The sequence below is a fragment of the Homo sapiens genome, chromosome 3 (assembly GCF_000001405.40).
Source record: "Homo sapiens chromosome 3, GRCh38.p14 Primary Assembly".
Taxonomy (NCBI): Eukaryota; Metazoa; Chordata; class Mammalia; order Primates; family Hominidae; genus Homo; species Homo sapiens.
Window position 1 is genome coordinate 41542678 of NC_000003.12, and position 27830 is coordinate 41570507.

A 27830-nucleotide genomic window follows, 5' to 3' on the forward strand; every position below is an offset into this window, starting at 1 on the left:
ATTATTGCCTCAATTTCAGAACTTATTATTGGTCCATTCAGGGATTTGACTTCTTCCTGGTTTCGACTTGGGAGGTTGTATGTTTCCTGGAATTTATCCATTACTTCTAGATTTTCTAGTTTATTTGCATAGAGGTATTTCTAGTATTCTCTGATAGTATGAAAACAAAGTTTTTAACTGAATTGTATCATTAGATGCAACTCCAGCTTGATAGGGACAATTCTTTTCAGCATGCAAAGAGGTCTCAAGGTTCCCCAATCTTCTATGGACAGGAATCAGGCTGAGAAATCTACTCAACTACAATTATGAGCCATTCTTATGTAAAAGGAAGAAGGTTCAGAGAGCATAAAGAACAGCCACAGAGAAGCATTCCCAAGGAGCAGAATTTTGCCCAAAGCAAGTAATATTTTTCCCCTAGAACAAAGAGAACTTGCCCATCAAGTTTTCAGTGCTGCCATGGATCAGTGACTGCTAGGTGCCTTCTGTTTTTCTACTTTTTAAATGAAAGTGTCTATAGTGGTGCTTCTTTCTGTGTCTCATCATTATAGTACGGGAATGTGAGGGAGCAGATGATTTGTGTCCTCAGTTCACATGTCATCAAGATTGAAAGGAACAATATTCAAGGAGGTGCACCTGAGGATATGTACCCAAGGAGCCTCATGTATATATATATTTAATTTAGATGACAAGATCCTTGATTAGGAAGCCTGAAACTAATCCTGTAAGAAGATGAGATCTGGGAGGATATTAGAACAATGTTGTATTGTGTGTGGAAGAGACAGAATCATTAGGGGCTAGAGAACACACTGTAGTACCTGATCTCCAAATACAGTCCTCTGGGTTATCTTCTTGTATTTAATGAACTATGCCTGCTTGTAGTCACATCCTTTGTGGGATGTTTTTAATTACTAATCCAATCTCTGTTATAAGTCTCTTCATTTTTTCTATTTCTTATTCAGTCAGTTTTAACAGTTTGTCTTTCTAGAAATTTCATCTAAGTTATCTAATTTATTGGCATACATTTTTTCATAGTATGCCCTTATAATCCTTTTTATCTTTATGAGGTCAAAAGTGATGACTTATTTTCAAATTAGCTGACTCTTTTTTCTGCCAGTTCAAATCCATCATTGACCCCCTTTAGTGAATTGTTCATTTCAGTTATTCTACTGTTCAACTTCTGAATTTCCATTTGGTTCATTTTGATAATTTCTGTCTCTTTATATTATCTACTTGATGTGACATCATTTCCACACTTTCCTTTAATTCTTTAGACATGGTTTCCTGCAGTTCTTTGCACATACTTATAATAATTGATTTAAAATCTGCCTAGTAAATCCAACATATTGGTCCTTTCAGAAATAGTTTGCCTTGCTTTTTTCCTGTGTATAGGCCGTATTTTCCTAGTTTGGCTTTTTGACATGCTTTGTGATTTTTTGTTGAAAACTGAACATCTTGGATGATATAATGTGTCAACACTGGAAATCAGACCCTCCCACTGAGGATATTTTGTTATTGCTATTTTATTGTTGTTTGTTCAGTGACACTTTTGTGCTAATATTATAAAGTCTATATTCCCTGTAGAGTCTGGCCACAGAATGGTCCATTCATTTAGCTCAGTGGCCAGCTAACAACTGGCCAGACATTTCCTTAAATGCCTTAAATCAGTAAGTCTTCCACCCTTTGCCAAGGGGCTGTTTATATGTGTTGGAGCATGCCTCCAAAATTTAGGCAATTTACAATTCTGCACAGGGCCTCAACATCAGCCAGAAGAGAGACTGGGTCCCCTTCAGGTCTTTCTTCATCATATGTATAGCCCTATGCATGCACACAGCCTTCTGTATTCCCCAGGAATAAATTAGGAGTTTTGCAAAGTCTCCAGTGGATATTTCCTTCCCTAAAACTTCTTTTAAGTTTCTTCACAAACTCTTCTTTGCTCCAGATGGTCTCTCAACTTCAAGCAGCTATGATGTTTAAAACTTGACAATGATTGTTTGCTATAAATGCCAGTACTATTGACTTTCCCCCTCAGATGAGCTCCATTTCAGGTCAAACAGTGACAATGACCTATGAGTAGGGTTTTTCCAGGGAGGTATGAGACAGGTCAAATTGTGGCAATGCTCTGGGAGTGAAATTTTTAGTCGGGGGTTCCAAATACAACTGGCCCATTTCAGATGCTTCAAGTCTACTTGACCTCTACAGTGTTTTTGAAGCTGCTAATTTTCAAGGCTACCATGCAGGTATGAAAGAGAGGACGGGGTCAGACTAAGTTACACTGCCACCAACTCACTGTTCTTACTGAGATTCATCAGTTTTTCTTGAATAAACACTCCTTGTATTGTTGCAAGCCTGTGGTAACTTGGTAATTTACGGAATTCTCAATGTTAACTTTCACAATTTACTCATTGTTTTTGTTGGTTTTATTGTGCGGCAGATTTGTGGAGGTCCTCAATTCACCTTTCTGGAAACCTACCTAGTCCGTTTTATTTTAGGTAATTACAGAGTAACAAAAAAAAGGTATTCTTTCATATTTAACCACATTCGCGTTCTCTCTTGTGCACTTCATTTCTTACGGCAAATTCGAGTTTGAGTTTTCATCTGGTATCTCTTCCTTTTAGCCTGAAAAACTTAATTTAGCATTTCCCTGCAGTGACAAATTTTCCTAGCTGTAATTTATCTCAAGTGTCCTTATTTCAACTTCATTTTAAAAGACACTTTCTGGAGATATAAAAATATAGATTGGCAACTTTATATTCTTTCGGCACTTTAAAGATGCTTTTCTGCTTCTCTGGCCTCCATTATTTCTGACAAGAGGTCAGCCACCATTTGTATTATTCATTACCCTTTATGTAATATATAATTTTTCTGTGAATATTTTTAAGATTTTACCTCCAATTTTTAGGAGTTTGACTATCGTGTGCTTAGGTGAATTTTGCTTGCTTTTTAATCTTCCAAGGGTTTTCTGACCTTTCTAAATATGTAGATAAATATGCTTTACCAAATTTGTGAAGATCTTGGCCATTACTTCTTTAAATTCTTTTTCTGCCCCATTCTCTCTCTTCTGTTTCTGGGATTCCAAGTACAAGTATATCAGAATCCTGGAAATTGTCCCATAGGCTTTTTCATTTTTTTAAATCTTTTCTTTCTCTGTCTCTCACATGGGAAAATTTCTATTAATCTTCTATGGTTTTTAATCTGCTGAAAAGCCCAGCCAGGTAATTTTTTTGTTTTAAGTACTGAACTTTGCAGTTTAAGACTTTTATATGGTTCTTCTTTATAGATTCATTACTCTGATGAGATTTTCTACCTCATCTCTTCACTTATAATCTTTACTTTTTGGCTTTGAATATATTTGTAATAGTTTTTTCAAAATTCTGACCTGTTAATTCCAACATCTGGGTAATATTGGGTTTTGTTTCAGCTGACATTTTATTATTATTATGGGTCACATTCTTCAAATTCTTTCTGTACCCCCTAAGTTTTGGTTTATGCTAGTCACTGTGAATAATATGTTGTGGGGAATCTGGATTATGCCACCTTCTTTTTAGTGCTACTGATTTTTGTTCTGGGCGGCAGTTAAATTCTTGGTGGCTCTTTTGACCCCAAAATGCTTAGTTTTATTCTGTTAGGACAGATCTATATTGATTTAATCCGTAGACCAAGGACTTAGCCCTTACTTTAGGACATGACCCATATTCTAAAGCAGGTCTGTAGTAGCCCTTAATTTCAGGCTAGTTTAGCTTTACTCAGGTGCATAGCAAGGACTGCCACTGTGGTGAGGCTGGGGTTCCAACATCTTTCATTACCATTCATCATCATGTCAGTTCAGCTCTCAGCCTTGCAACATGTACCCCACATCTGTGAGGCCTAACGTAATCTTGCTCTGTGAAAGTATAGCCCAGCCTTCACCAAAAACCTGTGGAAAACTCCGATGTAGGTTTCTGGGCCCTATTCCTCTATGAAACTCACTCCTCTCTTATACTCTGCCCTGTTAATCCTCACTAGCTCACATCCCTAAACACTGGTCTCTTCCTTCCCAAGCTCAACAAGACCTCTATTTCTACTTAGATTCTACTTTCCTCCCTAGGCCCTTAAAAAAAAAAAAAAAAAAAAAAAAGCCAGAGTGAACACAAGTTTCACCTCACGTGTTTCACTCCACTCAAGGACCACAGCCTTATTCTGTCTATGTTAAAAGATGTTTTCCTGCTCTTCTGGCCTCTGCTGATTTTGACAAGAGGTCAGCTATCATTTGTATTGCTTGCCCTCCTTGATGTAATTAGTAGTTTTTCTATGAATACGTTCAAAACATTATTTCCAGTTTTCAGGTTGCTTGAAAACAGTTGCTTCACATACTTTGTTGAGTTTTACTGTCACTGATAGTGGGAGGGCATGTTACTACCAGTCACTGTCATAAGAGAAAGCCAATATGCATACCTTCTCAGGAGCACATTATAAATCATGAAAATTGAACACAGAGTAGGTTCAAGGTAACATCAATAAATTTTAAAAAGTAGAAATGGTACTCCCAACATTTGCTGACCATAGTGCAGTAAAACTAGAAATATCTGGGAGGATTTCAAGATGGCTGACTAAAGGCACACATGTCGTCCAAAAGGAAGGACCAAAACAGTAAGGAGATAATCATGTGTTGATTACAGCATCTAAGAGAGAGCACTAGAATTCAGCAGGGAAGGGACAGGGAACATCTGAGGCACAGAAAGAGAAGTGAGGCAGCCACTGCCACCCAGCCAGGATCAACTTGGAGCCCAGAGAGGCTCTCCAGTATAGGGAAAGGATAAGAGATCCCAGTGGTCCACATTCCCACTGTGGACCCTTGCAAACCCTAGCCATGGGAGAGCTCCTTCACTCTTACAGGCCCTGAGACTAGTAGAGTGAGCTGCCTGGAGTCCAGGCAATGGCACCGCTCCAGACAGGGATTTCACACAGGGTCCCACGCATTCTCCCAAGACCCAAGTAGCTGCAGAATGGCATTCTGAGCACCCAGCTCCCACCATACTGCATTCTGCCCTGAGGCCCAATAGCCCCTAAATCTCTATGTCCCTGGAGTCCTGCTGACATCCCTCAGTATCCATCCAGAGGGTTGCAGCAATGCAATGCCAGCTGGAACCATAATGTGGCCAGTTTCCAGCAATCTAGCCCATGCGGTGTCCTACACCATGAAAACAAGCATTGCAGTGAGCCAGGGAGGCTGCTCTTGGGACAAACGGAGCCAAAACATGCACTCCTCAGAGACTGAGAGTGGCCTGCCTGCTGCCTGGGGATGCTGCCACCAACAGCAACCCTGTACTCACCCCTACCCCCACAGTAACAGGGCTATTGCATACTTGCAAGTGTGTTCAGTGGGCCTAGGGACCAGCCCTTTAGGATACCAACCCAGGACTTGAGGATGGGCTCATCTTGCCCGCTGCTGCTGCCACCTGAGCACACCATACAGGAACCTGGGGAATGCCTTGCTCCACCCACCATAGCCTGTGCCCATGTGCACCATTAGAAAGTCTGAGGAAGGCCCTGCTTCACCTGGTGTCACCTCTCTAGGTGTCCACACACATCTCCCAAGGGCCTGGGGGTCATTTCAATATGTCTGTTGCCCCAGACACACATACACATCAGGAGGCCTGACACAGGACCCAGCCTACCCCAATCCCCAGTGCCCGTACATTCTGCTTGGGGGCCTGGTGACTGGCCCACTCCACCTATCACCCTGAGCAAGCACATACACCATCAGAAACCCTGACAAAAGACATAGCCTACCTGCCACCAGCACCCAAGCACACTGTGTCAGGACCTGGTGATTATCCTGCCCTATCCACCCACACATGCCACATGGGGGCATGGAGACTGGCATGCGCAGAACATCATTACCACTGCTAGCATCAGCATACGCCACATGGGAGCCCAACAGTTGGCTCGCCACCACAATGCCATTGCAGATGCCATGTACACTACCCAGAGGCAAAATGACCCACCCACCCTCCCTGCCCACTACTGCCACCTCCAGGACCTGAGCAAGCCATCTTTAGGGCCATAAATTAACCCACCTACAGTCACTAATACTGGTGCCCACCTATACCATCCAGGGACCCAAAGACAGGCACCCTCAGGTCACTGCCGCCGCCACCACCACCAGTCTGGCCTGAGGAACAGCCTGGGTGGCATCTCCATCCCCCAGCAAAATATCACCATTGCCTCCATTAACAACCATATCCTAAGCCACAGAGGAAATCACAGATACCACTGATGCTGACTGCAGCCAAAGAAATCATAAAGATACTACACTGCTGCATGAACCCTGAATCAAAGCTGAAGTGCCCTACTCAACCAACACTACAGATACATCTACAGGAAAAAAGTCTTCCCCTAAGAAACCCAATCTGAAAAATAGGAAGAAGTGCCTGTTACACAAGATGCATCGATATCAACATAAGGACATAAGAGAAATGAAAAGGCAAAGAAACATGACACCACCAAAGGAACACAATAATTGTCTAGTAACAGATCCCAACAAAACAGAAATCAAAGGTATTTGTGAAAAAGAATTGAAACTAATGATATTAAAGAGGCTCAGTGAAATATAAGACAATACAAATGAACAAAACAAATAGAAAAACAACTCATGATATCAATGAGAATTTCAACAAAGAGACAGCTGTCATTAAGTAGGACCAAACAGAAAATCTGGAACTGAAGAATTAAATGAATGGAATAAAAATTCAATCAATAACTTCAATAATAGACCATATAAAGCAGAAGACAGAATTTTAGAAATTGAAGAAAGGTCTTGAAATAACCCAGTCAGATAAAAAATAATAAAAATTTAAAAAATCAAAAAAGCTTCTCTGATATATCAGACACCATAAAGAGAGCAAATATTCAAATTTTGGGTGTTCTAGAAGTAGAAGAGATAGGCAACAGCATAGAAAAATCTATGTAATAAAATAATAGCTGAAAAATTCCTAAGTCTTGCAAGATCTTTAGACTCCAGAAATAGGAAGCTCAAATATTGCCAATCAGATACAACCCAAAAAGGTCTTCTCTAAGGCACATTATAGTCAAACCGTCAAAAGTCAAAGAAAAAGAAAGAATTCTAAAAACAGTAAGAAAAAAAAGTGTCAAGTCACATATAAGGAAATGACCATCAGGCTAACTGGATCTCTCAGCAGAAAGTCTAGAGGTCAGGAGACAATTGGATGATATATTTGAAGTGCTAAGAAAAAAAAAGAAAACAACAACAAAAACCCTGTGAGCTAAGAACACTATGTCTAGCAAACCTATCCTTCAAAATGTAAGACAAATAAAATCTTTAGCAGACAAACACAAACTAAGAGAGCTCATCACCACTAGGCCAGTCACACAAAAAATGCTTAAAGGAATCCTACATATGAGAGGGAAAGGACAATATTTACCATCACAAAAGTATAAAACCTACTGGTAGAGCAAACAAAAATGAGAAGCAGAAAAAATTCAAATGCAAGCATAACATAAAGCCTAAGTAGTTATTAACTACGGTAAACAATAAAAGAGAAAGAAAGAAACAAAAGATATGCAAAACAACCAGAAGATAAATTAAAAAATGACTGAAATAAGTCCTTACCTATCAATAATAACCTTGAATATAAATGGATTAAACTCCCCACTTAAAAGGTATAGACTAGCTGAGTGAATTTTAAAAACCATGAAGCATCTTGCTGCCTACAAGAAATATATTTCACCTCTAAACATACACATAAACTTAAAGGTATGGAAAAATATATCTCACGTGAACAAAAACCAAAAGCAAGCAAAAGTAGCTACATTTATATAAGATAAAATACACTCAAAAACATTACAGTCAAAACACGAAAAAGAAACAAGATCATTACATAACAATAAAGGAATCAATTCAGCAAGAGGATATAACAATTCTAAATGTTTATGTACCCAATGCCACAGAACCCAGGTATATAAAGTATTAGATCTAAGGGGAGAGATTTTAATAGATGTTAATACAATAGTTGGGGATTTTGACATAACACTCTTATTAGACAGATAATCGAGACAGAAAAATCAACAACAAAACACTGTATTTAAACTGTATTTTAGATCATATGGACCTAACATACATTTGCGGAACATTTAATCCAACAACTGCAGAATATATGTTCTTCTCATCAGCACATTAAACATTCTCCAGGATAGACAATGTTAGGCCACAAAACAAGTCTCAACAAATTTTTAAAAATCAAAATCATATCAACTATTTTCTCAGAACATAATGGAGTAAAACTAGAAATCAATACCATAAAGAATGCTGGAAACTATACAAATACATGGAAACAAATTTGCTCCTGAATGACCACTGGTTCAGTGAAGAAATCAGGAAACAAAAAAACAAAAAAAAAGTTACTGAAACAAATGATAATTGAAATACAACACACCAAAACATATGGGATACAACAAAAGCAGTGCTAAGAGGGAAGTTTATAGCAATAACACATCTACATTAAAAAGTAGAAAGATTTCACATAAACAATCTAAAAACATACCTAAAGAAACCAGAAAAGAACAAACCAAAACCAAAATTAGTAGCAGGAAATAATAAAGATCAGATTAGAACTAAAAAGAAAAAGAGAGAGGCAAAAAAGTATAAAGGATCAACAAAAGGAAAAGTTTGGTTTTTTTGAAAAAATAAAATAAAAAACCACTAGCAACACTAAACAAGAAAAAAAGGAAGAAGATCCAAATAAAATCAGAAATGAAAAAGGAAACATTACTGCTGCTATAGAAATACAAAAGATCATCAGAGACGATTATGAGCAGCTATACACTAACAACCTGGAAAACCTAGAGAAAATAGACAAATTCCTAGGCATATACAACTGCCAAGATTGAATCAGGAAAAACAGAAAACCTAAATAGACCAATAATGAGTAATGAGATTGAATCAATAATAATAATAAATCTTCCAGCAAAGAAAAGTCCAGGACCAGATCACTTCACTGCCCAATTCTACCAAACTTTCAAAGAAGAATTAATACCAATTCTCCACCAAATATTGCAAAGAAATAAAAAGAAGATAATTACCCCCAACTCATTCTACAAGGCCAGCATTACCAAATCCAGATAAGAACACAACTACAAAAAAACCCTACAGGCCAAGAGCCCTGATGAACAGAGACACAAAAATCTTCAACAAAACACTAGCAAAAAGAATCCAACAGAACATCAAAAAGATAATGCACTGTGACCAGGTGGGATTTATTCCAGGGACACAAGGATGGTTCAACATATGCAAATCAATAAATGTGATACATCATCTCACAGAATGAAGGATAAAAAACGTGATCATCTCAAAGAATGCAGAAAAGGTATTAACACGGTTCAATATCTCTTCATGATAAAAACTCTCAACAAACTAGGCACTGAAGGAATATACCTCAGTATATAGTAATAAAGGCCAAATATGACAAACAGCTAACATCATGCTGTATGGTGGAAAACTGAAAGCCTTTCCTCTAAGAACTGGAACAAGATAAGGATGCCCACTTTCACCACTCCTATACAACATAAAATTGGAAATCCTAGCCAGAGCAATCAAGCAAGAGAAAGAAATAAAAAGCATCCAAACAGGAAAAGAGGAAGTCGAATTGTCCCTCTTTGCTAATGATATAATCTTATATCTAAAAATAACTAAACACTCCAACCAAAAACCTCTTGGATCTGATAAATTTAGTAAAGTAGAATGCAAAAATCACCACATAAAAATCAGTAGTCTTTTTATACACTAATAATAAACTAGCTGAGGAAAAAAATCAAGAAGGCAAACCCATTTTCAACAGCTTAAAAAACTACCTAGGAATAAATTTAACCAAGGAGGTAAAATACCTCTAAAAGGAAAACTTCAAAACATAAGAAACTGAAGAGGACAAAAATAAATAGAAAAATATCCTATGCTCATGGGTTAGAAGAATTAATATTGTTAAAATGATCATACTGCCCAAAAGCTATATTGAGTCATAGCAATTCCTATCAAAGTACTGATGCTATTTTTTACAGAAATAGAAAAAAAAAATCCTTAAATTCATATGGAACCCAAAAAGAGCCCAAATAGCCAAAGCAATCTGGAGAAAAATAAAAACAACAGAAAAGGTTGGAGGCATCATACTACCTGACTTCAAAACACATTACAAGGCTATGTAACCAAAACAACATGGTATTGGTATAAAATCAGACATATAGATCAATGGAGCAGAACTGAGATCCCAGATATAAATTCATGTATTCACAGCCAACTGATTTTCAACAATGATGCCAAAAACATACAATGGAGATAGGGCTCCTTCTTCAATAAATGGTGCTGGGAAAATTGGATAGTTATATGCAGAAGAATAAAACTCAACTGTTACCTCTCACCTCATACAAAAATCAACTCAGGATAGATCAAAGACTTAACCATAAGACCAGAAACCATAATATTACTAGAAAAAAATATAGAGATAATTCTTCAGGACATTGGTCTAGGCAAAGATTTTATGGCTAAGACATCAGAAGCACAGGCAACAAAAACAAAAATAGACAAATGGGACTATATTAAACTTAAAAGCTTCTGCATAGCAAAGAAAACAATCTACAGACTGAAGAGACCACTTTTTGAATGGGAGAAAGTATTTTCAAGCTATTCATCTGACAAGGAACTAATATCCAAAATATAAAAGGGACTCAACAAAACAATAATAATTCCATTAAAAAGTAGCCAAAGAATTAAAATAGACACTTCTCAAAAGAAGACATAAAACCGCCAACAGGTATATGACAAAATGCTTAACATCACTAATGATTAGGAAAATGCAAATCAAACCCACAATGAGATGCTATCTTTTTACTCCAGTTAGAATGGCTATTACCAAAAGGACAAAAAATAACAGATGCTGGAGAGGATGCAAAGAGGGAACTCTTATACACTGTTGTTAGGAATGTCAGTTAGTACAGCCATTATGAAAAATAAGAAGACTGCTTTTTTGTGTGTGAATACATAGTAGGTATATTTATTTATGGGGTACATAAGATATTTTGATATAGGCATGCAATGCATAATAACCACGTCAGAGTAAATGGGGCATCCATCCCATCAAGCATTTATCCTTTGTGTTATAAAAAATCGAATTATACTCTTTTAGTTATTTTTAAACATACAATTAAATTATTTTTTATTATAGCCACCCTGTTGTGCTAGCAAATACTAGGTCTTATTCATTCTTTCTAACTATTTTATTGGTAACCGTTAGCCATCCCCACTTCCCCCACCACCAAAACCCACTACCATTCCCAGCCTCTCGTAACCTTTATTCTATCTATCTCCATAAGTTCAATTGTTTTAATTTTTTGCTCCCTCAAATAACTGAGAACATGTGAAATTTGTCTTCCCATTCCTAGCTTATTTCACGTAACATAATAACCTGCAGTTCCACGGAAGTACCGTTTGATCCAGCAATCCCACTACTGGGTATTTATCCAAAGGAAAAGAAATCAGTATATCAAAAGGATACCTGCACCTCTTTGTTTACTGCAGCACTATTCACAATAGCCAAGACGTGGAATCAACCGAATAGTATTCTATCCATGTATAGATATCATATTCAGTCTACAGATGAATGGATAAAGATAACGTAATATCTATACATGATGGAATACTATTCAGCCATAAAAGAGAATGAAATCATATCATTTGCAGCAACATGGATGGAGGTGGAAGTCACCATGTTAAGTGAAATCAGCCAGGCACAGAAAGACAAGTATCAGATGTTCTCATTCATATGTGCAATCTAAAAAAGTTGATCTCATGTAGGTAGAAAGTAGGATGATAGTTACCAGAGGCTGGGAGGGTAAGTGTTGGTAGGCGGGAGTATACAGAGAGGTAGACTGATGGGTACAAACATATACCGAGATGGAAGGAATAAGTTCGGTGGTTGATATCACCATATGGTGCCTACAGTTAACAACAATATATTGTGTATTTCAAAGTAGGTAAAATAGAAGATTTGAAATGTTCCCAACACAAAGAAATGGGGTGATAAATATCCTAAATACCCTGATTTGATCATTACACATTCTATGTATCAAAATATCACAGGTACCCTATAAATGTGTACAAATATTATGCATCAATAAAAATACATTTTAAAAGTAGAAATAATAAAACAAAAAACCCTTTTCACCATAAAAATACCTTCATTTCAAAGCAACGCTAGACTCAGTGAGAGAACATACACCAAAACTGAAATATATATGGAAAAGAAAAATGATCAAAGCATGACAGATTAGAATTTCCGAGTAAGGTATACATAAGGTAATACTTGAAAATTCATGCATCAGAGTTAAGCATCATACTCAATGACCAAGAAAAAGAAGGACAAAACAAACTCATGAAGCACAAAGAATTAATAGGTAAAAACATAAATTGACTTTTGAAAAAAGTTAACACTAAGAAGTAAATCCCAAAACTGATTTGAAAAAAATACAAACACACACATTCTAGTAAAACTATGATCATAACTACTCAATAAAAATGCAAAAGTACAAATTTTTGCAAACTATGCATCTGACAAAGGCCTAATGTCCAGCATCTATAAAGAACTTAAACAAATGTACAAAAAAAAAAAGCAATCCCATTACAAAGTAGGCAAAGCAGGCAAAGGACATGAACAGATACTTTTAAAGGAAGACATACATGAAACCAACAAACATGAAAAATGCTTAACATCACTGATCATCAGAGAAATGCAAATCAAACCACAATGAAATACCATCTAACACCAGTCAGAATGGCCATTATTAAAAAGTCAAAAAATAAGAGATGCTAGCAAGGTTGTGGAGAAAAAGGAGCACTTATACACTGTTGGTGGGAGTGTAAATGAATTCAGCCATTGTGGAATACTGTGGTGATTCCTCAAAGACTCAAATATACACATGCCATTTGACCCAGCAATCCCATTACTGGGTAGACAACCAAAGGAATATAAATCATTCTATTATAAAGACACATGCACACTATGTTTACTGCAGCACTATTCACAATAGCTAAGACATGGAATCAATCTAAATGCCCATCAATGATAGCCTGGATAAAGAAAATGTGGTACATCATGGAATGCTATGCAGTCATCAAAACAAAACAAAACCAAAACAAGATCATTTCCTTTGCAGGGGGACATGGATGGAGCTGTAGGCTATTATCCTTAGCAAACTAACACAGGAACAGAAAACCAAATATGGTGTATTCTCACTTATAAGTAGGAGCTAAATGATGAGAATACTTGGACACATAGAAGAAAACAACACACACTGGGCCTTTCAGAGGGTGGAGGGTGGGAAGAGAAAGAGGATCAGGAAAAATAACTAATGAGTACTAGGCTTAATACCTGGCTGATGACATAATCTGTACAATAAACCCCCATGACACAAGTTTATTATCTACATAACAAACCTGCACTTGTATCCCTGAACTTAAAAGTTTTTAAAAAGCACAAATACATTATATAAGAAATGGTAATGGGGCAGTAACTTCTGAAATGTAGGAAAATAAAAGATTTATAAGAATTAGTTTTGTTCAACTCTGTGAAAACAGAATTGAAAGTGTGTAGGAAATAAGTGTTCCAGGAAAATATAATTTACAACTGACTCTAAAAGACATGGAAAATTTTTTTAAAGTTTCATTATTACTACAGAAATAGAGAAAATCATCACAGAGCTATCACTACTATCATACCACAAAAAGAGAACACCAGCCAGATGACTTCGCAAAGAAACTCTACCAAACTTTTTTTTTTTTTTTTTTTTGACAGAGTCTCGCTCTGTCGCCTAGGCTGGAGTGCAGTGGCACAATATTGGCTCACTGCAACCTCCACCTCCTGGGTTCAAGCGATTCTCTTGCCTCAGCCTCCCAAGGAGCTGGGACTACAGGCACGTGCCACCATGCCTGGCTAACTTTTTGTATTTTTAGTAGAGGCAGGGTTTCACTGTGTTAGCCAGGATGGTCTCCATCTGCTGACCTCGTAATCCGCCCACCTCAGCCTCCAAAAGTGCTGGGATTACAGGCATGACCCACTGTGCCCGGCCCAAACTTTTAAGGAGTAGATAATTCCAATGATAAATGAATTTTCGAGAAATACAGAAAGAGGAAAAAAAAATTTTAATGAAGCAATATAGCATTAATATTAAAATCTGGGCAAAGAATGTGTTTCTCCCATCAAAAATGAACAAACAAAATCACAGACCAATTACACCAATGAATGGCAATGAAAAATCCTAAATAAAATATTAACAAAGAACTAAAGTAGCACAATTAAAGAACTATGTATCATAACTGTGGTTACTGACTCAAACACTAGGATGGGTTCAATATTAGGTAACCAATTAAATATAATTCATTATATAAATAGATTCAAGGAAAAATCATTTGATCATTTCCATAGAAGCCAAAAAAGCATTTGACAAATGTCATTATTCCTGATTACAAAAGAAATAAAAATAAAATTAAAATAGAAGAGTACCTCCTTACCCAGAAAAAAAGATCCTCAGACAAATCCAAGACATCTACCCCACTCTATTTGAAACTTGTAAATAGACCAGAGGGGAAAAGTAGCATCATAAAAATTGGAAAGAAAACCATCATTATTTACAATTATTATATGACTGGGAAACTAAGAAAATCACCTAAAAACTATTAATATAAAAAAAGAATTAATATATGTACAAAATTGCATATACAGAAATCAAAAACTTTCAAACATATTTAAAACAACAGATTGCGGCCAGGCATGGTGGCTCACACCTGTAATACCAACCAGTGCTTTGGAAGTCCGAGGTGGAAAGATCATTTGAGGCCAGGAGTTTGAGACCACCCTGGTTAACATAGCAAGACCCTGTCTCCACCAAAAAAAAAAAAATTAGCCAGGCATGGTGGCACGCGCCTGTTGTCCTAGTTACTTGGGAGGCTGAAGTGGGAGATCACTTAAAGCCAGGAATTCAAAACTGCAATAAGCTCTGATTGTGTTACTGCACTCCAGCCTGGGTAACACAAGGAGACTCTGTCTCTAAAATAAAGTAAAATAAAATAAAATAATTTAAAAATAAATTGGAATATATAATGGTGGAAAAGTCCTCATTTCTATTGAATGCAAAAAAAGATACAACACTTAGGAAGACATAAACTTAACAAGAAATGCATAAGACCTATATAAAGAAAACTACAAAACATCTCTGAAGAACATAAAAATTTCTTGAACAAATGGGGAAGCAAAACATGCTCTTAGATCCAAAGACAAGCAATCTCACATGCTCTTGTGGAAATATAAATTGGCACATTACTTAGAGCAGCTTCTCAGTATCTACAAAACTTACTTATGCATATATCCTTTGAGCTAACAATTCCAATTCCAGGAATTTCTCCTATACATATTCCTGCTCCTGTGTGAAAGGATACATGTATAAAACTATTCATTGTAGAACTGTCTGTAACAGCAAAATATTGGAAACAACATATATCTACCACTGAGGCTGTGGTTAAATAAATTATGCTACATCCATAAAACAGAATAGGATGTTGCTGTGTAAAAGAATAAAGATCTCTATGTACCAAAGCCCCAAAACTGTTGGCAATATTTATCACGGGGGTAAGTGCATATTTTTCTTAGGGGAGGAAAAAAATATTACCAGCATTGAAATATAATGACCACATAGAAACACAACTCTAGGCCAGGAGCAGTGGCTCATGCCTGTAGTCCCAGCACTTTGAGAGGCCAAGGTGGCAGATCACCTGAGGTCAGGAGTTCAAGACCAGCCTGGCCAACATAATGAAACACTGTCTCTACTAAATATACAAAAATTAGCCGGGCATGGTGGTGGGCGACTGTAATCCCAGCTACTCGGGAGGCTGAGGCAGCAGAATTGCTGGACCCTGGGAGGTGGAGATTGCAGTGGGCCAAGATCACGCCATGGCACTTCAGCCTGAGCAATAGAGCAAGACTCCATCTCAAAAAAAAAAGAAAAGAAAAAAAAGGAAAGAAAAAGAAATAGAACTCTAAATTCTTCGGTGGGCGGGGGGAAATTAGAACAGTGACTTGGTAATTTTATTCAGTGACAGATTTTATCCCAAGTCATATTTCTGTGAAGAACTCCACTTGATAGCTTCTATTTTATTTTATTTATTTATTTATTTTATTACACTTTAAGTTTTAGGGTACATGTGCACAACGTGCAGGTTAGTTACATATGTATACATGTGCCATGCTGGTGTGCTGCACCCATTAACTCATCATTTAACATTAGGTGTATCTCCTAATGCTATCCCTCCCCCCTACCCCCACCCCACAACAGGCCCCGGTGTATCATGTTCCCCTTCCTGTGTCCATATGTTCTCATTGTTCAATTCCCACCTATGAGTGAGAATATGCAGTGTTTGGTTTTCTGTCCTTGCGATAGTTTACTGAGAATGATGGTTTCCAGCTTCATCCATGTCCCTACAAAGGACACGAACTCATCCTTTTTTATGGCTGCATAGTATTCCATGGTGTATATGTGCCACATTTTCTTAATCCAGTCTATCATTGTTGGACATTTGGATTGGTTCCAAGTCTTGCTATTGTGAATAGTGCTGCAATAAACATACGTGTGCATGTGTCTTCATAGCAGCATGGTTTATAATCCTTTGGGTATATACCCAGTAATGGGATGGCTGGGTCAAATGGTATTTCTAGTTCTAGATCCTTGAGGAACTGCCACACTGTCTTCCACAATGGTTGAACTAGTTTACAGTCCCACCAACAGTGTAAAGGTGTTCCTATTTCTCCACATCCTCTCCAGCACCTCTTGTTTCCTGACTTTTTAATGATTGCCATTCTAACTGGTGTGAGATGGTATCTCATTGTGGTTTTGATTTGCATTTCTCTGATGGCCAGTGATGATGAGCATTTTGTCATGTGTGTTTTGGCTGCATAAATGTCTTCTTTTGAGAAGTGTCTGTTCATATCCTTTGACCAGTTTTTGATGGAGTTGTTTATTTTCTTGTAAATTTGTTTAAGTTCTTTGCAGATTCTGGATATTAGCCCTTTGTCAGATGGGTAGACTGCAAAGATTTTTTCCCATTCTGTAGTTGCCTATTCACACTGATGGTAGTTTCTTTTGCAGAAGCTCTTTAGTTTAATTAGATCACATCTGTCTATTCTGGCTTTTGTTGCCATTGCTTTTGGTGTTTTAGTCATGAAGCCCTTGCCCATGCCTATGTCCTAAATGGTATTGCCTAGGTTTTCTTCTAGGGTTTTTATGGTTTTAAGTCTAACATTTAAGTCTTTAATCCATCTTGAATTAATTTTTGTATAAGCTGTAAAGAGGGATCCAGTTTCAGCTTTCTACATATGGCTAGCCAGTTTTCCCAGCACCATTTATTAAATAGGAAATCCTTTCCCCATTGCTTTTGTCAAGTTTGTCAAAGATCAGATGGTTGTAGATGAGTGGTGTTATTTCTGAGGCCTCTGTTCTGTTCCATTGGTCTATATATCTGATTTGGTACCAATATCATGCTGTGTTGGTTACTGTAGCCTTGTAGTCCAGTTTGAACTCAAGTAATGTGATGCCTCCAGCTTTGTTCTTTTGGCTTAGGATTATCTTGGCAATGCGGGCTCTTTTTTGGTTCCATATGAACTTTAAAGTAGTTTTCTCCAACTCTGTGAAGAAAGACATTGGTAGTTTGATGCGGATGACATTGAATCTATAAATTACCTTGGGCAGTATGGCCATTTTCACAATATTGATTCTTCCTATCCATGAACATGGAATGTTTTCCCATTTGTTTGTGTCCTCTTTTACTTCATTGAGCAGTGGTTTGTAGTTCTCCTTGAAGAGGTTCTTCACATCCCTTTTAAGTTGGATTCCTAGGTATTTTATTCTCTTTGTAGCAATTGTGAATGGGAGTTCACTTATGATTTGGTTCTCTGTTTGTCTGTTATTGGTGTATAGGAATGCTTGTGATTTTTGCACATTGATTTTGTATCCTGAGACTTTGCTGAAGTTGCTTATCAGCTTAAGGAGATTTTGGGCTGAGACTATGGGGTTTTCTAAATATACAATCATGTCATCCGCAAACAGGGACAATTTGACTTCCTCCTTTCCTAATTAAATACCCTTTATTTCTTTTTCTTGCCTGACTGCCCTGGCAGGAACTTCAAACACTATGTTGAACAGGAATGGTGAGAGAAGGCATCCTTGTCTTGTGCCAGTTTTCAAAGGGAATGCTTCCAGTTTTTGCCCACTCAGTATGATATTGGCTGTGGGTATGTCATAAATAGCTCTTCTTATTTTGAGATACGTTCCTTCAATACCTAGTTTATTGAGAGTTTTTAGCATGAAGGACTGTTGAATCTTCTTGAAGGCCTTTTCTGCATCTATTGAGATAATCATGTGGTTTTTGTCATTGATTCTGTTTACGTGATGGATTATGTTTATTGATTTGCATATGTTGAACCAGCCTTGCATCCCAGGGACGAAGCCAACTTGATCGTGTTGGGTAAGCTTTCTGATGTGCTACTGGATTCGGTCTGCCAGTATTTTATTGAGGATTTTTGCATCAATGTTCATCAAGGATATTGGTCTAAAATTCTCTTTTTTGGTTGTGTCTCTGCCAGGCTTTGGTATCAGGATGATGCTAGCATCATACAATGAGTTAGGGAGGATTCCTTCTCTTTCTATTTATTGGAATAGTTTCTGAAGGAATGGTAACAGCTCCTCTTTGTACCTCTGGTAGAATTCAGCTGTGAATTCATCTTGTCCTGGACTTTTGGTTGGCAGGCTATTAATTATTGCCTCAATTTCAGAGCCTGGTGTTGTTCTATTCAGAGACTCAACTTCCGCCTGGTTTAGTCTTGGAAGGGTGTAGATGTCCAGGAATTTATCCATTTCTTCTAGATTTTCTAGTTTATTTGTATAGAGGTGTTTATAGTATTCTCTGATGGTAGTTTGTACTTCTGTGGGATTGGTGGTGATATCCTCTTTATCATTTTTTATTGTGTCTATTTGATTCTTCTCTCTTTTCTTCTATATTACTCTTGCTAGTGGTCTATTAAGTCGTTGATCTTTTGAAAAAACCAGCTCCTGGATTCACTGATTTTTTGAAGGGTTTTTTGCGTCTCTGTCTCCTTCAGTTCTGCTCTGATCTTAGTTATTTCTTGCCTTCTGCTAGCTTTTGAAGGTGTTTGCTCTTGCTTCTCTAGTTCTTTTAATTGTGATGTTAGGGTGCAGATTTTAGATCTTTTCTGCTTTCTCTTGTGGGCATTTAGTGCCATAAATTTCCCTCTAAACACTGCTTTTAATGTGTCCCAGAGATTCTGGTACGTTGTGTCTTTGTTCTCATTGGTTTCAAAGAACATCTTTATTTCTGCCTTCATTTCCTTATTTACCGAGTAGTCACTCAGGAGCAGCTTGTTCTGTTTCCATGTAGTCGTGCAGTTTTGAGTGAGTTTCCTAATCCTGAGTTCTAATTTGATTGTACTGTGGTCTGAGAGACAGTTTACTGTGATTTCTGTTCTTCTACATTTGCTGAGGAGTGCTTTACTTCCAATTATGTGGTCAATTTTAGAATAAGTGTGAGGTGGGGCTGAGGAGAATGTATTTTCTGTTTATTTGGGGTGGAGAGTTCTGTAGATGTCTATTAGGTCCACTTGGTGCAGAGCTGAGTTCAAGTCCTGGATATCCTTGTTAACCTTCTGCTTTGTTGATCTGTCTAGTATTGACGGTAGAGTGTTAAAGTCTCCCATTATTATTGTGTGGGAGTCTAAGTCTGTTTGTAGATCTCTAAGGACTTGCTTTATGAATCTGAGTGATACTGTATTAGGTGCATATATATTTAGGATAGTTAGGTCTTCTTGTTGAATCACCCTTTACCATTATGTAATGGCCTTCTCTGTCTCTTTTCATCTTTGTTGGTTTAAAGTCTGTTTTATCAGAGACTGGGATTGTAACCCCTGCTTTTTTTTTGCTTTCCATTTGCTTGGTAGATCTTCCTCCATCCCTTTATTTTGAGCCTATGTGTGTCTCTGCATGTGAGATGAGTCTCCTGAACACAGCACACTGATGGGTCTTGATTCTTTATCCAATTTGCCAGTCTGTGTCTTTCAATTGGGGCATTTAGCCCATTTACATTTAAGGTTAATACTGTTATGTGTGAATTTGATCCTGTCATTAGGATGTTAGCTGGTTATTTTGCTCGTTAATTGATGTAATTTCTTCATAGCATCGATGGTGTTTGCAATTTGGCATGTTTTTGCAGTGGCTGCTACAGGTTGTTCCTTTCCATGTTTAGTGCTTCCTTTAGGAGCTCTTGTAAGGCAAGCCTGGTGGTGACAGTCTCTCAGCATTTGCTTGTCTGTAAAGGATTTTATTTCTCCTTCACTTAGGAAGCTTAGTTTGGCCAGATAGGAAATTCTGGATTGAAAATTCTTTTCTTTAAGAATGTTGAATATTGGCCCCCACTCTCTTCTGGCTTGTAGGGTTTCTGCCAAAAGATCTGCTGTTAGTCTTTGGGCTTACCTTTGTGGGTAACCCGACCTTTCTCTCTGGCTGCCCTTAACATTTTTTCCTTCATTTCAACCTTGGTGAATCTGACAATTATGTGTCTTGGGGTTGCTCTTCTCAAGGAGTATCTTTGTGGTGTTCTCTGTATTTCCTGAATTTGAATGCTGGCCTGCCTTACTAGGTTGGGGAAGTTCTCCTGGATAATATCCTGAAGAGTGTTTTCCACCTTGGTTCCATTCTCCCCGTCACGTTCAGGTACACCAATCAAAAGTAGATTTGGTCTTTTCAGATAGTCCCATATTTCTTGGAGGCTTTGTTCGTTTCTTTTTACTCTTTTTTCTCTAAACTTGTCTTCTCGCTTTATTTCATTAATTTGACCTTCAATCACGGATACCCTTTCTTCCACTTGATTGAATTGGCTACTGAAGCTTGTGCATGCGTCACGAAGTTCTCGTGCCATGGTTTTCACCTCCTTCAGGTCATTTAAGGTCTTCTCTACACTGTTTATTCTAGTTAGCCATTCGTCTAAACTTTTTTCAAGGTTTTTAGCTTCCTGGAGATGGGTTAGAACATGCTCCTGTAGCTTGGAGAAGTTTGTTATTACCGACCTTTTGAAGTCTACTTCTGTCAACTTATCAAAGTCATTCTCTGTCCAGCTTTGTTCCGTTGCTGGAGAGGAGTTGCGATCCTTTGGAGGAGAAAAGGTGCTATGGTTTTTAGAATTTTCAGCTTTTCTGCTCTGGTTTCTCCCCATCTTTGTGGTTTTATCTACCTTTGTTCTTTGATATTGGTGACCTATAGATAGGGTTTTGGTGTAGATGTCCTTCTTGTTGATGTTGATGCTATTCCTTTCTGTTTGTTAATTTTCCTTCTTACAGTCAGGTCCCTCAGCTGCAGGTCTGTTGGAGTTTGCTGGAGGTCCACTCCAGACCCTGTTTGCCTGGGTATCACCAGCGGAGGCTGCAGAACAGCAAATAATGCAGAACAGCAAATATTTTTGGCAGATCCTTCATCTGGAAGCTTCATCCCAGAGGGGTACCTGCTTGTATGAGGTGTCTGTCGGCCCCTTCTGGGAGGTGTCTGCCAGTTAGGCTACAAGGGGGTCAGGGACCCACTTGAGGAGGTAGTCCGTCCGTTCTGAGAGCTCAAACGCCATGCTGGGAGAACCACTGCTCTCTTCACAGCTGTCAGACAGGGACGTTTCTTCTTCTTCTTCTTTTTTTTTTTTTTTTTTTTTTTTTTGAGACAGTGTCTCACTCTTGTACCCTAGGCTGGAGTGCAGTGGTGCAATCTCGGCTCACTGCAACCTCCACCTCCCCACTTCAAGCGATTCTCCTGCCTCAGCCTCCCGAGTAGCTGGGACTACAGTCACCCGCCACCACACCTGGCTAATTTTTCTATTTTTAGTAGAGATGGGGTTTTACCACGTTGGCCAGGCTGGCCTCAAACTCCTGACCTCAAGTGATCCACAAGCCTCGGCCTCCCAAAGTGCTGGGATTACAAGCGTGAGCCACTGCACCCGGCCATAAAAGTATTTGTTTTTTATAAATCGAGTGTAACCTAAGTGTACAGGGTTTATAAAGTCTACAGTAGTGTACAGGAACATCCTAGGCCTTCACATTCACTCCCCACCCAGTCACTGACTCCCTCAGGGCAACTTTCAGTCCTTCAAGCTCCATCCATATTAAGTGCCCTATACAGGTGTATCATGTTTTATCTTTTATATCATATGTTTGCCACACCTCTTCTATGTTTAAATTCACAATACTTCTAAGTTTAAATATACAAATACTTACACCTCTGTGTTAAAAGTGACTACAGTATTCAGCACAGGTTTGTAGTCTACGGGCAATAGGCAATAAATACCATACAGCCTAGGTGTATAGTAGGCTACGCCATCTAGATTTGTGTAAGTACAAGCTGTGGTATTCACACAATGATAAAACTGCCTAATGATGTGTATCTCAGAACAGATTGCCGTAGTTACGTAATGCATGACTGTACATGATTTTTAGAATTTTAACAGTACAGAAATGCATAAGATATAAAGTAAACCACTGTCAACTCATCCAGTCTCATTTTCCAAGGCGCTTTTGGTCATATCTGTTTTTATTTTGATTGGCAGTCTTATGGTTCAAATGTTTTCCCCTCCAAAACTCATGCTGCCCCTTAATTCCCATTATAATGGCATTAAGAGGATGGGAAATCCAATTATGGTATTTGAGAGGTGAGAACTCTGAGAAGTAGTTAAGATTAGATGAGGTCATTAGGATGGGATATTAGTCACTTCATAAGAGGAGGAAAAGAAACCTAAGCTAGCAAGCTCAGCCCCCTCACCATGTGATGCCCTACACTGCCTTTGGACTCTGCAAAGAGTCTCCAACAGCATGATGGACCTCACCACATGCAGCCCCTCAATCTTGGACTTCTCAGCATCTAGAACTGTACAAAATAGATTTCTTTTTGTTTTAAATTACTCAGTCTCAGGTAATCCGTTATAGCAACAGAAAACAGATGAAGACAGATAGCAATCAGTCTAAATACTATGATTACACCTCTATTTCTTGGTTTGTCATCTTTAAGCAGTGACTATTGACTTTATGCCATTAAGAGAATGAATTAACTTAGAGAAACCATCCCACAATTCCAAATTTTGCTAGTAATATTACTTGAAAATTCTTATCTATTTTGACTCATCAACTTTAAGTGGTACTTCTAGACTCCACGCTATATAAGATGAAGAAATGAATAGGCAAAACTTGATCAGAGAGTAATTCTATGAGGCATTTACCTTGTTCATAAAGTAGTTCCATATTCGAATCTTTGCAGGCAACTAGATTGCTGAGTAATGCAATCACACTTTGCATGGTATTACCCAGAATGCTCTCCTGATGTTCCTGCAATAGATCATAATTTCCATCATAACCATACAGAAATACAATTACATCATCGTAAAGACAAATAAGCAAATGATGTCCACTGCTTCATTCTTTGCACAAGGTTAAATGATTACCTTTTTGCACTTTAATGAAGCACATCCTTCTATGTTAAGACAAATCCCATCAGTGAGTTAAGTGAGCTGGGAGGGAGGGTAAATCACCCAGACACCAGTGCTGCAGCACAGACTTCCCTGCCCATGAGCTGAGAGATAACACATGGTCCTCCATGCTTTAGGTGGGTGACAAAGGAATTCAAGTATGTAGAACTCAGAAGATCATGCTTGAAGATGAGTTTGATATCACAAAAGAAAACTACTTCAAGCAAATATTTATGCAGTTTCAATATTATGCTGGTACTGATATTTTTCCCACTTTAGTACATTTGATCTGATTTATTACTGCTTTAGTGCAATAAACTACATTTGGACCTAAAAGAGTGGATTGTGAATTTTGCTTTCCTCAACACTTAGCATCATATAGTAGGCAGTAACTTAGGTCCTAAAGAGAATGGAAAATGAGTTATTCTTCAGTTGCAATTTCTCATTTTAAAGGCAGAATCATTTCTTTGTAATTTTTAAAGGGTCTTACAAACAACTTGCTTTTCTTTTGTTCCCTTTTTCATTGCTGTGAATATTTTTTAAAATTAAGCAATTAACACAGATTATAATTGAAATTATTAAATTTCATAAAATTCAAAAATAAAGAGGCAGTCTTTGCAGTCTGGAACTAGGATGAGGCAAGAGAGACACACGAGGTGCAAAATGTAAGGTAGTACTCCTCACTCTCAGGTTCCTGTAAGTACCCACTGACAGTGAGGACTCCTAGGAGTCTAGCTTGCCCTGCTCTACGTCCTGCGCCCATTCACCATGACTATTCTGCTAATAACTAGTCCAACCCCGAAAAGCAACAAGCATATTAATTAGTAGGCTTGATCTAGACCTTTTTATATTCATTTTCTCCACCTCTCACCCACAGAGAAACATATGGTTTGCTGTTGGGTTGTTTTTTAACGTATAGCTATTTTGTGCCAGGCACTGTAGTAGGCACTTGAGGTATGCCAGTGAACAAAGTCCCCTATCCTCACATAAATAGACAACAAAAAGCATAATAAAAAAGTGAACCATATAATGTATTAGAAGATAGCAAGTACTCTGGCAAAAAAGAAAAAAGCAGAGCAGGGAAGCAAGGTTCAGAGGGCAGCAGTGGGACTGCATATGATTTGAAATAGGGTGCTCAGGATAAGACTCATTGAGAAGGTGTCACTTAACAGATTTTTTTTTTTTTTTTTTTTTTTGAGATGGAGTCTCGCTCTGTCGCCAGGCTGGAGTGCAGTGGTGCGATCTCGGCTCACTGAACCTCCACCTCCTGGGTTCAAGTGATTCTCCTGCCTCAGCCTCCTGAGTAGGTGGGACTACAGGCATGCACCGTCATACCCGGCTAATTTTTTGTTTTGTTTTGTTTTTTGTATTTTTAGTAGAGACAGGGTTTGACTGTGTTGGCCAGGATGGTCTCGATCTCTTGACCTCGTGATCCATCTGCCTCAGCCTCCCAAAGTGCTGGGATTACAGGCGTGAGCCACCACGCCTGGCATTTAACATAAATTTTATTTTACTTTTTAAATGCTGAAGCCTCTTGGTATCTCTTAATTGATTTTAATAAGCTTTTCTTTTGAAATAACTTTAGCTTTATAGAAGAGTTTCAAAGATAGTACAGAGAGTTTCCATATACCCATCACCCAGTTTTCCCTCATGTTAACATCTTACCCTAACCGTGTTGTATCTATCAAAACTAAGACATTTACACTGATACTAACAACTCAGCTACAGACTATTCAAGTGGCACCAGTTTTCCACCGATGGCCTTTTCTGTTCCAGAATTCAATCAAGGATCCTATTTTACACTCAGGATTATTCATTTTTGCAACAAATACTAAGTGCCAACTATTCCAGGTAGTTGGCTTACATCAGTGAACAAAACAGAAAAAAAGCCCTGCCCTTATGGTGTTTACCTTGTACCAGGAGGAGAAGACAATAAATAACAAATAATTATAAGACATGTTAGAAGGTGATATACACTATGAGACAAAATAGGGAACAGGATAAGGTGGCTTGGGAGTGCTGCAGGGGAAGCTGCAATGCTAGAGCAAGCAAAGCATAGCTCCTTCAGAAAATGACATCTGAGCAAAGATTTAAAGAAGTAGACATATGTTTATTCTCCTAATATACTTCTAGACTCTGTCAGCTAAGTTTCTTTAGGATTGTTGCATCTATGTTCATAAGTGATACTGACTTATAAGTGACACCCTCTTCTGATTTTACTATCGATCTCATGCTAACCTTGTCTACCCATTTTATTCCAAATATATTTATTGTGCATCTAATATGTGTTTCTAGGAGATCTGGCAGAACTCACTCATACAAGCAACTAGCTAGCCTCCATACATTTCTACCAGTTGTGTGGAAAAACACACATAAACTCTTAAGTGGTTTTTCTCTTCTCTCACTCAGTAATAATCAACACAGGAGACTTCTGTGACCAAATGTGTGGGATTTTCCCCACACACGAAGCAAGCAATCGATTCTGCAGCTGACACAAGCTGAGCGTTCTCTACTTCAACTCCACAAAATCTACCGGGAAACAGTATCAGACCCCATAGGGCGAGGGCTCAGTCCCACAAGGCTACACCCTCCTTCCCACTTCAAACACTCATCACAAGTCTGGACCTCTGGAACTTCTGACCCGCCAGAGTCAAGCTGGGTTTCCCATGACTGCCTCTTTGGCTTCAATTAATTTACTAGAGTGGCTTACAGAACTCAGGAAAACACGTTTACCATTTTACTATAAAGGACATTACAAAAGACATGGATGGAGAGATGCATAGTGCAAGGTATGGGGGAAGAACTGTGGAGCTTCTGTGTCTTCCCCGGGCACACCACCCTCCAGCAACCTGTACATATTCAGCTATCTGGAAGTTCTCTGAACTTCGGGGTTCTGTTATAGGTCCTTTGGGGTTTTTATGGAAGTTTTGTTATGTAGGCAAGACTGATTATATCACTGGCCATGAGTGATCAACTTAACCTCAGCCCCTCTCCCCTCCCCAGAGGGTGGAGATTGGGACTCAAAGTTTTCAGCCCTCTAATGTTGCCTTGGTCTTTCAGGTGACAAGCCACCATCCTGAAGCTACCCTAGGGGATGCCAGCCATCAACTCATTAGCATACAAAAAGACAGCACCTGAAGACAGAGTTTCTGAGGATTTTAGGAGTTGCATGCTAGGAAACAGGGGTGAAGATCAAATACATACTTCACAGTATCATACCAGTGGACCTTAAAAAAAACTGAAAAACAAAACACTTCTACTCAGGCATCTACAACATCTTGACCCAATTTGGTTATGTCTATTTTCCTAGAAAACCATCTACAACATCCAAATTTTCACACATATTGTAATAAAATCCTACAAAGCATTCTATTACACCTTCACAAAATTTCCCTGGCCCCTATTTATATTGCCTTTTACACCGTGTCCTCTCTCTTGTTGATCAGACTCACCAAAGCTTGATCTATGCTATCAGACTTTTCAAGGAACCACCTTTCCATTTGAATGACTACCCTACATTTTTTTTTTGAGTTAGTCATTATGAATGACTAACGAATTTCCCACTTCTCTCTCCTAGGTATACAGTAGAATGGCATTTCCCCGCCTGCTTGGAAAATGACACTAGTGATGAAAATGACACTTGCTTTGGCCAATTAAACTTACATGGGCAGAAGCATTAAGCGCCAGTGACAGCTTCATCATCCTACCTTCTCCTCTGCCCCATGACCTTCTAGATGGTGAGGCTTCTAATGGCCTGCGTATCAGAGTGAGAACATGAAGCAGAGAATCCAGGAACCTCTTGATTGGACACGTGGTTTCCAAGGCTTACAAAAATACCCACACTGCATCTGACTCTGAAACTGCTTTCTCAGCAGATTTGTACCTCCCACTGATGAGAGCCACTTGATTTCATATGGGTTTTGCCATGTATGCCGTTGTTTAACACAAGACAAAGTGTTTGCTTTCCAAATACTGATGTCTAAAAATTTTGAACTTCAGAAACACACGCTTAAGAGCACTTTTGCAGTGAACGTTAATGTTTTAATGTTTCACTGACACCAGCTTAAGAAGATTAATGTGGAAGCAATGGTCTGCCACCAATTTCATCTAATTATTCTTACAGTTGGTTGGAAGGAAAGGGTGATTAATAAGCACCAAGATGACACTACATGTTACTCGTGATAAAGTAACCAACGATACATAAAAAACCTTTTCTTGTGAAGAAAGTGGAGCTAAT

General features: G+C 38.3%; 1 protein-coding gene across 6 annotated transcripts in view; it reads right to left on the reverse strand.

Annotated features, from left to right (window-relative positions):
- Positions 1-27830, reverse strand: part of ULK4 (unc-51 like kinase 4) — a 715505-nt gene that overhangs the window by 296079 nt on the left and 391596 nt on the right. For all 6 annotated transcript variants that reach the window (NR_136342.2, NM_001322501.2, NM_017886.4 and 3 more), the window contains one exon: positions 23348-23453. Coding sequence is in view for 5 of the 6 variants with exons in the window: in NM_001322501.2 (NP_001309430.1) it covers positions 23348-23453 (106 nt within the window). In the remaining variant the exon portion in view is untranslated. The remainder of the gene's footprint in view (positions 1-23347; positions 23454-27830) is intronic.